At 46.2% G+C, this 10,852-nt stretch overlaps 1 protein-coding gene across 11 annotated transcripts in view; it reads right to left on the bottom strand.

The window, feature by feature from the left end:
• Window positions 1-370: 370 nt before the first annotated feature.
• Window positions 371-10,852, bottom strand: part of C6orf89 (chromosome 6 open reading frame 89) — a 57,121-nt gene continuing 46,639 nt past the window's right edge. For all 11 annotated transcript variants that reach the window (XM_047418339.1, XM_047418337.1, XM_047418342.1 and 8 more), the window contains 2 exons: window positions 9,634-9,757; window positions 371-5,988 (listed from right to left, as the gene is read on the bottom strand). In XM_047418339.1, the coding sequence (XP_047274295.1) occupies window positions 5,894-5,988; window positions 9,634-9,757 (219 nt within the window). In that variant the 3' untranslated portion in view covers window positions 371-5,893. The remainder of the gene's footprint in view (window positions 5,989-9,633; window positions 9,758-10,852) is intronic.

Here is a 10,852-nt window from a genome sequence, read left to right as displayed (position 1 = left end):
TCACTGGGAGGGCATCTGGGCTGTGTGCAGCAAGCTGGTGAGAAAAAAAAAGGCGTCCAGGGGCTCACCTGCATTCTGGGTGAAGTGCACAGACAGGGGAGGGTATTAACAGGGGGACTGAGATTTGAGAATTCATGGGAATAGCAGATGAGAAGCCGCTGTGGGTAACGTCTGGGGTGCGGAGAAAGTGGAGGCTGTGAATGCAAGGACAGTGCTGGGTGCAAATGGTAGAGACCAAAGCCAGGCGGGCACAGAGGAGCCCCACAGGCCGGCCTCATGAGCGAGATATGGCTAGAAGTCTCTCATGTCATGGGAGAAGGGGAAACAAGAGAAAACTGGAAATTAAAGAATGACACCAACAAGAGGAAAGTTCTTATCAACCAACACTTTTAATTGCAAAAAGTAAAAACCTTCATTACAATAAACTTTAATTTACATACATTCTTCACATGGTGGAAGTCTTTACCAGTTTGTAGTATCCTGCACTTGAACACATACTAAAAGCTCAAGCCATTCAGAGCCGCTGTGGCTGTGACAGCTGCCTGCCTCCCTCTGCTCCCTGGGACCATCCAGGGCCACCACACCCTGCTCCCGGAAGGAGAGCTGCAGCTGACCCTGGCACCTGTCCCCGATGATGGCGGGAGCACTGCGCTGAGTCCCTGTCTTGCCTGTGACTCCTCCTTCCCCGACCCTCGGCATTGGTTACTGACCCTTCCCCAGGGTGGAGGTGAAGGAAGGGAAGACTGCAGCCAACATTTTTCTGAGGGTAAAACTGTGGAAAGAAGTATGGAGGGAAGCCTGTCTGGATAAGATGGGGCTTTCTGGGAATGTCATGTGTCTGCTGGCTCCTGTCACCTCCCTGGAAGGGTCCACAGTGCTGGGGGGTTGCAGTGTGAAGAATGGGATGCTACTGTGAGTAAGGGTGGCTGCACAGGTGAGCCCCCTGCCCCAAGGAGCTGCTGTGGGGAGCGATGGTGTCAATGAAGCCTGGCACAGAGAAGATGTCCCAACTCCCCAGTTTCTGTCTGAAACTCAGACCTCGGCTGGGTTCCTTTCTCCACACAGTGCTTGCCGCCATGGCTCATTCTTGGATTGATGGCTGCTGCCTGCCTGACAGACACACTAGGCAGAGGCGGAAGGGTCTCTGGTCCAGCCCTGTCAAATCCTGACAGTTCCAGGCCTCCACTTAGTTATGTAACATTCCTTCCCTCCACTAGTCTGAAAAAGTCTGGACATTTCGCAGTCTCCAGGGAGAGGAATATGACAGATGTATTTGGCACTAATGCTTAAATTATGCAGGGCAGGGAAACCAGAGACACTGAGGGACCTGGACAACAGACAAGCTGGCTGAGGGTTTCTCTTCAAGGCCAGCATTTAGTCACACTGCGTCCACGGTGGGTGGACTTGGATGTGGTGCACGAGAAGGAGAGCACCTGTCCGTCTCCCTGACATGCTTCTGGAAGAGGCTGCTGGGGATGTGGAGACTGGGGGTGGGGAGGACAGGGAAATGCCTGCTGCTGGTGACACAAACACATTCCCGGAGGCTTCCGTGTTTCATTTGCTACAGAGCTGTCTCCACAAGCGCCTTCACTCTCCTAGCTTCCTGACCCTGCCATGCATCGGTTCTGTACACAACATCTGCAGGTCCAAATACAGAGAGAATTTCAGCCTAAAGTACAACTTTAAAGCATATCTCTGACACTCCCTTCCTTCAACAAATTGTAGTGGGTGATGGGTCACCACTGAAAGGTAATGAGTGTGGAACTTGTATACTCAAGAGAGCTTTTCCTTCATTGTCAGGAGAGCTCAAAATCCTAAGAGGCCCTTCTGTTTATAACTGATTCTCGAAAGGTAGACAAAATTGCCTCTCTCTGTGCAAACAGACATGCGCCTTTCTCTCTCTTTCTCCTATAACCTGGCTTTCTCCTTTATGGACAAGGAGATGCAAACATTTGCTTTGGGGTTTGAACATTCACTACGAAAGTGACTGGGTAATAAGCAAACTCATTCCAGGCTGTATTAAAATGACTGAGGCCATCACCTGCAGCTAAGAAATGTGAGTTTTTGTTTTAAAGTAAGTGTACACTGAGTCCTATGCTGGGTTTTGGTAGAAGGGAACAGAAAACCAAGAATTGAAAAACAAGTGATGTAAACTCCAAGGGGACCCACAACTGGAATTGAGCAGAGTCCCTCCTCTGTCACACATCTGGAAGAATGTGGAGACAGGAAAATGGCTGGACACAGTTGTGTTTCAGCTACATTCACTCTTAAAAAGAGTTTTCAAATGGGGAGGGGAAAAGTGAAAGGATTTTTATAAAAGTCATATGGTTAGATTCTTTCCTCCTCCACTTCTGTCCAGCAGAGTTTTAAAAACAAACCCTGCGGAGTTCCTGGCTTGCTGACCCCCATCCCTGGGTTCTCCCACCCCAACGGAGGCACATCTGAGTCAACGACATCCACAGCTGTCTTCTTCGGCACCATGCCGTGATGCCGCAGGAAAATGATGTGCTATGGAACCAGCTACCTACCTGCCAGCGGTTAACTGCTCTAAGCCTCCACTTATTTACTTGCAAAATGGGGATCTAACACCTACTTTACAGGATTGGGTGAAGATTAAAGGAGATCATGTATATCAGGCACTTTGTAAACTGGAATGTACTAGACAAATGCTATTATTCCTTTCTCTCAGAACATGAGCCCCCCCAATCTGCTCTCCTCTCCTCCCCTCCCCTCCCTTCCCTTTCCCTCCCCTCCCCTCTTCTTTTCTCTCTCTCTTTTTTTTTTTCTTTTCTTTCCTTTCCTTTGACAGAGTTTCGCTCTGTCGCCCAGGCTGGAATGAAGTGGCACAATCTTGGCTCACTGCAATCTCCGCCTCCCCGGTTCAAGCAATTTTCCTGCCTCAGCTTCCTGTGTAGCTGGGATTACAGGCGCCCACCATCACGCCTGGGTAATTTTTGTATTTTTAGTAGAGATGGGGTTTCACCCTGTTGGCCAGGCTGGTCTTGAACTCCTGACCTCAAGTGATCTGCCTGCCTCAGCCTCCCAAAGTGCTGCAATTACAGGTGTGAGCCACCATGCCCAGCTTGAACCACTTTTATTTTATTCCTTCTCTTCCCTAAAAAAAATTGAGGATAAGCTCTGCCTTTTTTCATCAACCATAATAAGTATGGTATCCATTCACTACTTGACTGCTGGAGAGCTCAGGACATTTGGACAGAATGCTTCAAACTGGGGCCAAAGTAGCCTGTCTCCTCAGAGAGCTGACTTCTGGGCATACGCATCTCTGTAGTGGGAGGCCACATGAAAGTGAACCTAACTCATGTACAGAGGTCATCGCCATGTCACTTCCTAGTAAATGCTCAATAAACTTGTAAACCACCCCCTCTCTTTAGAGCCCTACAGTTTTGTTCTTATTGTGGTGGTGGAGGTGGGGAGTTGGTTAGGTGGTCTTATCGTCACCCTGCAGCCCCACTTTCTCATCCTGACAACCCTCTTTCCCACACCGGGTCATACAGAGGGACTTTTGATGCTTCCAGCTAGATGGCAGGGGCATCCTGTGGCATCCTGCTGTGCAGGGCCTTGATCATCAGAAAGGGACTGGCTGGCAACCCCTAGCCACTCCTGTCGCTCTGGCCAGTAGTAGATTCTGCTTATCAAAATTAACTTGAGAAGTTGAACTGCTTCTGTGTATGTAGAAAACCCTCTTTGGAGAATTTTCCCCTAATACAAGTTTACATTCAAGTCTGAACTGGGTAGATTTTAAGTAAAATGAGTAGTATATCCATAAAAGTCTCCACTTATCTTCTGCTACAGTCATTTTTTGTTGAAGTACAAAATGGGACTTAGGGGACTTTCCCACGGGATGCCTCAGAATACCAACACATGCAAGGGTTTCTTATGGACATTTAAGATGTGAAGGGCAAGAGTGAAATGGGGAAAGGAATACAGAGTAACTCACAGAAACAAAACAGAGATCTCAGTAATCAAAATAGTTGCTTTGTTCCTAAGAAACCCTCTCTTTTGTTAATGGGTCTGATTTTTAAAAACTCTCAGAGGCCTCTAAAGCACTTGTTTACACATAGCCCTTCCCCATGTACAGCCAGGGTAAGGACACTGCAGAAGGCTGTAAAAGCTTGCACAAAGCCGGCCTCCAGATGATCCCTCTGACTTAAAACCTCTTAAATCATAACTGCTTAACAACATGACTTTCATACGTACACAAGTTTTGTTGTTCCTGTATTCATCCACACAAGGGGTTGATTAAGAAAAAATTCCCTCAGGTACAGTTCATCGGAGTTTCACTGAAGCCCGTGGAGGAGGCTCTGATGTTTCTATCCTGAGCTCTGTGAACTCTGCTTGTCCTTTGCAAGCCCATAGACAAACAGGCCATTCAAGTGCTCAATGGTCCCCACTGCTGTTCATGAGACCCACAGAGAAAGAGGGCCTGAGAGATGAGATGCAGGCTCCTCCAGGAATGAAGAGGGCTTCACAACCATCTTCACTCGTCATTGTCTGCCTCTGATCCATAATTCTGACATAGACACCTACTGCATCCTTTGATTTCTGCAATTCAGAACCAGAGGCCAAAGTGTAGTTTGCTTTTTCTTCATCTTGGCAATGGCATGACCAGTGGCCAGCTATCTAGTGGTGTCAATAAAAGAATAATAAAGAGAGAAAAAAATAAAAGGAACAGGAAAAGAACATCCTTATTTACACCATTTGATTGCTACCTACTAAAAGCACTTAGGAGAAAACAATGCACATAGTGAATCATCCAATCAGAAACACACAGCTTTATATTATTACAAAAAAGAAAAACACCTCACCTTGTCTTTGTTTCGCAGCACAGACAGAAATCATTTTAAGACAGAGGATCACATAGGCAGTTGTACACCCAGCTGACAAACACTTTGGGTCTGGATTTCCTCCCCCAACCACATTACATCAGCTTTGACACATCTGTAAAACATCTTCTCTGCAGAAAGTCAGACCCTAAAGATCAAACCCAGGGAGGCACCCTCTCCCCAGGCCAGCTACTCTAACTCATAACCCTCTGAAGACACTTGGTAAAGGCAACACAGCTGACGAGAGCAGTGCTGCCTCAGCAGTAGTGGGCTCTGGCCCCGCCAAGGCAGGGAGGACTAGGGCCGAGCTTCTGAGAAGCCATCCAGATAGGCAAGGGAGAAGGGGAGGGGGTGCAGTGGGGATAAAAGAACCTGATGAAATGGAAGAAAGCATTACCTTGGGAGTTACCATTTTGAATTATTATATAATCAGACTCTAGCCTGGCATCACGGAGACTCCAAGAGCCACGGACAATGGGAAAGAAGTGTACTTCTTGAATGCAATTCAAAGTTATCTGAACTTTTTTCACTGTTTCTAGATTCCACTTTGCTTGGGAAACTACAAGAACTTCTTTAATCAGCCATGGCCTTCCAAAAAGTAGAGTGATGTGGCAGGCAAGACAGGGACAAGCAGGCCCACCTGGTAAAGGATGGCTCTGACATTAGAACCTGTTGGCTGCCCTCTCCACTGCCAGGGAAGGAAGCTGGCCATGCAGGTGAAGAAAGGCACCAGCCCTGTTTCCTGCCTGAAGGGCAGCATCAAGGTCATAGTGTCCAAAGGCCCGGAAGAGGTCAGTCTCAGATGGGTGCTGGCAGAGTCCTAGCCAAGTGGCCAGGCTGAATCCTTCCTGAGCCACCTGCAGGAAGAGTCAGGAGGGCGAGGCTCTGGCCACTGCCTTGCAGCTCACAGCTGGTTCACACATGCATGCAAAGGGCAGGTAACTAAGTAACCAACCCCCAGAAAGCAGTTTCATCGTTTTTGTTTTTATTTTTCCCCTTTCAACCTGGTTTTCGGCTCTGGAAGCTGTTCCTGTGCACAGTTCTATTTCCTACAGTTCTGAGAAAGCGGTTCCATCGCAGATGACCAAAGGCTGGACCCCTCTGGCTATAACGTAGACCTTCCAGTGGGTGGTGTCGACATAGCCTTGAGGGGAAATAGCAAGAGGAAGGCATGTAAATGTCAGAGGGTGGGCACACCTGTGGGCACGAGCAAGGCAGGTCTGCCAGAGCTGGCCCTCAGGGTGCACTGCAGAGTCAAAGACAAATCTTTTTCTATTTAATTTAGTTTCCTTTTTTTTCTTTTTCTTTCCTTTTTTATTTTTTAAGAGATAGGGGTCTCACTATATTGCCCAGGCTGGTCTTGAACTCCTGGGCTCAAGTGATTCTCCTGCCTCAGCCTCCCAGAGTGCTGAGATTACAGGTGTGGGCCACTACACCTGGCTTAAAGACAAATTGCTCTGAAAGTCTTCTGGCACTTCCTAGCATAAGTATTCCTAGTTATTATCAGTCCTCTTTAAATGCTTTATCACCACCCCTCACCCAGGGAACTGTGAATCACAATTCAGCAGGCTTACAAAGGCAGGATGCTCTAGATGAGGCTGCTGTTGGGCATCAAGTCTCAGCTTTTACAGCAAGAAGACAGAATGGATTCCGAGGGGACACAAGACCTACTAGCCAATTTTCCTGTGTCTATCTATAATGTGGTTTCATTACAGAACATCCAGATTAACCTAAACCTAAACCAGCATTGCCCAAATTGGGTTTGGCAAACAGTAGTGTCCTGTAAGATATTCCAAAGAAAATAGGTTCCATGGCCAAGTAAGCCTGAGAAACACTAGGTTTCCCCAAGGCTTTTCAACATCTTTGATACACTAATAATGTACTATGCATCAACAAGACAGGCATTTCCCAAAGTCGACTGACTCGAGACCCTACTTGCCAAGGGTCTTTTCAAAGGCCTTCTGGTCCCACCTGTGGGGTCATGAGTAATCTGAAGAATCGTTTAGGAAACACTGACCTATCATTTGAGTGGGCTATGAAGGTAAACCTAAAAACTTCAACCTTTCAATAATCCCCAGTGATGCTGAACATCATTGTGCCTATAGTTTACAATACTTTTAAAAATTCTTTTTTTCTTTCTTTTTTTTTTTGAGACGGAGTTTCACTCTTGTTGCCCAAGCTGGAGTGCAATGGCGCAATCTCGGCTCACTGCAACCTCCACCTCCCAGGTTCAAGCAATTCTCCTGCCTCAGCCTCCCGAGTAGCTGGGATTACAGGTGCACACCACCATGCCTGGCTAATTTTTTCTATTTTTAGTAGAGACGGGGTTTCATCATCTCTTGGCCAGGCTGGTCTCGAACTCCTGACCTCAGGTGATCTGCCCGCCTTGACCTCCCCAAGTGCTGGGATTACAGGCGTGAGCCATCGCGCATGGCTTTAAAAATTTTTAATTCAGTGATTTTAGAGACAGGGTCTCGCTTCATTGCCCAGGCTGGAGTGCAGCGGTGCAGTCATAGCTCACTGCAGCCTCAAATTCCTGGGCTCAAGAGATCCTCCCAACTCAGCTTCCTGAGTAGCTGGAACTACAGGCGTGTGCCACCACGCCTGGCTAATTTTGTAATTTTGGGTAGATACAAGGTCCTACCATCTTGCCCAGACTGGTCTTGAACTCCTGGGCTCAAGCAATCCTCCTGCCTTGGCCTCCCAAAGTGCTGGGATTATAGGTGTGAGCTACCCTGCTCAGCCCCTAACAATGCTGTCTTGTACACTTAAAAATTCGTTGAGAGGGTAGATCTCATGTTAAGTGTTTTTACCATAAGAAAATAAAATTTTAAACAAAAAAAATCTCTTGATGGGAAATTTATTCTAGCGTACTATGGGCCCTGCTCATCTTTAAATGAAGAGCACTGAGTAGAATTCAACTTTTACTTGGTGACTTGGTCATGATGGGCAATGACTATCCTGTACAGTGACTGCAGATGTTGTACCTGACCCCCAAAAGGTTTTCTGGTGATCTGGAACCCCTCTCCCCTCCATCTCCACAGGAAAATGTACATTTTGTCAAAAATCATAGAACTTGCATGTCATGGTGCCATTCTTAAGGGTCCCTAAGGTAGAGGAACCGCCATCTGTCCTGTAACACTGAATGATTCTTCTTGGTCAGGGTCTGCTTTCCTGTCCTCATTGTTAACCGTGGCAGTGACAGCCATCATGTCTATTTCTGTCACTGCTTCAGGTGCTCGCTGGCTTCCCCACCCCTCCCTGCCCCCATTCTTCTCCCAGACTTGCTCTCCTCTTCTTCTTCTCTTCAGTCCCCATCCATCTCTGTGTTCTGTCATGTGACTGGCCTTTTATAGACACTGCCAACTATAGGGGTCCTTTCTTTCTAGTCAACAAACCAGCCAGGCACAGCACAGCAGGTATCATGCACCGGATGTTAGGCTAATCTGGACTATCTGTACCAGCATTTGATGCTCAAGCTTTCTTGATCACTGCCAGACTTTTTTTTTTTTAATTTTTCCCTAATTCTGTAATTGGTATTCCGGTTGCTCGTGGGAGCCGGAAGTCTGGAATTCAGATAACTAAGGTGTTTCTGTAGTTGTCTGAATTGTTAGGCATTTGTAAAATATAAAACAGAAACTTGTTCAAGCACAACCACATGCTCCAAACCTAAATATGCCAGAGAGATTTTCGCAATAGTCATCTCTTGTGTTAAGAGTCACTCCATTACAGGAAAAAGATTCAGAACGATTTCCATACAAGAATCCTCGTTTTTGTAGGAAGTTTCCCAAGAGCCAGGCCAGCTGTGCTCCATTATTAGTTAATGCTTGATTTGTACCTTATTTTTATTTTTCATTTCTGAATTGAAATAAAAGTTATGTAACCTAAATTAAGACTTGGCATAGCTTGCAGTCCAATTCCTACCCTCATATGAGATGCAAGGTTTCTAGGGGCTTGGGGGTCTTCTGAATGGGTAAAATTAAAAGAAATCAATTGGAAAACCAGTCTGGGCTCTGCCAGAGACTCCAGGTCTTGCCTAGGTTTTGTGAGGCAGGAAAAGCAAGGAGGTCAATGGTGACACTCGCTGATTTATTTGCTTCTTCCAAGAAAACTCGGCTGTCAAACAGATTGCTACTGACAGCAGTGGATTCAAACCTGTTTCTTTGGAACAGATTTTTAATTAGGATATAAGGCACAGGACAAGTCACATTTGGGCAAACACTGAGCCAGGGTCAAGGGTGAGTCATCAATGTGAGGCTGTGACTTGGCTGTGGCAGCCACACAGAAGGTAACATTTCCTTGTGTGACCATTGCCCTTATATACTGCTTGGTATTGTTTTATTTGCAAAATGGGTATATATTCCTGTAGTCCTTGATTGTCCCTCTCCTGGCTTGACTGTGTTCAAGCAGGCACTTAAGACCTGACGCTCTGCTCGACTGACAGTGGGGCCTTGGGGTGGTCACCTCTCCTCTCTGGGTCTCAACCTTTTCATCTATAAAACGAGGGATTGGTCTAAATATTTTCCAGAATCCTTCCTAACTTGAAGTTTCTATGATCAATAGACACACGCATTCTATATGTTGTATGTACAAGCCATTTCTTTCTGCTATGTTTTCTCATTAAGTTGTTTCATTTCTAAGCATAAATATTGAGCCTGTTAACAGGAGAATGTTATTTTTGATTCTACTAAATAAAACTTTTGTGAAGGCAGTATGTGATTCTTAAAATAGCTTTTGAGTTAAAAACTAAAAAGATCCATTGACCCTGCCCTCCTGGGGCCCTACATACCGATATCCCCTGGCTCTATTGGCATGGCCACAGACTGACAATGTCTTCGGCACTGGAAGGGAGGGATGAGCTGCAACATGGCCTCACCGCTGCCAATGATAAATAGGTCAGGCATCTTATGCATCTGGAGGAAAGAATGAGGAGGGGAGGAAAAGGAAGGCAAAGAAAACGAAATAAAACCAGGGGGTTTAGTAAATAAAAATGCTTTCACATATGGCTCTGAGTTTCCTAGCATAAGCAAAGAGGAAATAGAACCAATAACAAAAATTTGCAATTATGTCCAAAAGACAAAAACAAACTACTTTCTCCTAAGAATGGCATCTCTTGGTACTAAGACCAGAGTAAAATCTCTTCTATGGGTTCTCCTAAAGAGGCACTGTGTGATTTAGTGGGCAATACCCTCAACGAGAGCCCCAGAGTAGATCCTGCATGAGCTTTGTAATTTGCAACTATTTTTAGCCACAGCTTCAAAGTAAGCCAAAGAAAAATACCTAATTGCAATTTAACAAAGGTAGTTCCAGCAGAAACCAGCACATGGTGGCTGAAGTATACAACATTCTGAGATTCTGGTTTGATGAAAACTTTTTAGATAAATAGATAATCAGCATATCCTTTGGGCACTCTTCCATGGAATGTTATTTCTTACTACCAGGGCCCTGATAAGAATTGTACAGCAGCAAGTTTAAGTTTACACTGCCTGGCAAGACCCAGGGGAGCAGATATGCCATGCTACCGATTAAAAACTAATGACACTAAGACTGGCCTCTGATTTTGAAAACTAAGGAGACAATCAGCATATGCACCTGCACAGGTAACTACTGCCCCTCTGAGGGCATGATACTGCCAGCAACAGGCATTAAATGCAACCTGCTATGTGCCAGGGAAGGAGCTGTGAACCCTGGGGTGGGGCTGGGACCAGGGCAAGGAATAGGGATAAAGAGAGAGATGGGTCTTGCTGGGACATTTCTCCTTACCTTGATGATGACAGAAAACCCCTAGGGCCTCTTCTCTCATCTCTTCCTCCTATCTCTTGCCCTTCAGAGAAACCCTTTATATGCCCATATAAAGTGGGAGCCAGAAGTCTGACTCCCTGGGCCATGTCTTGGTTTTCTCTTCACCACTCAGGGCCTCCAGAGTCTTGGGTTTTGGCCCCATCTTCCCCTGTCCCCAACCCTGTTCTCTCTGCTGCTGCCACAGGCCTTGCCCATAATGTTTTCAT

This window comes from Homo sapiens, chromosome 6 (genome assembly GCF_000001405.40).
Source record: "Homo sapiens chromosome 6, GRCh38.p14 Primary Assembly".
In the NCBI taxonomy this organism is placed as follows: Eukaryota; Metazoa; Chordata; class Mammalia; order Primates; family Hominidae; genus Homo; species Homo sapiens.
The sequence above is the reverse complement of the archived record's forward strand: the minus strand, read 5'-3'. Positions and strand labels throughout refer to the sequence as shown.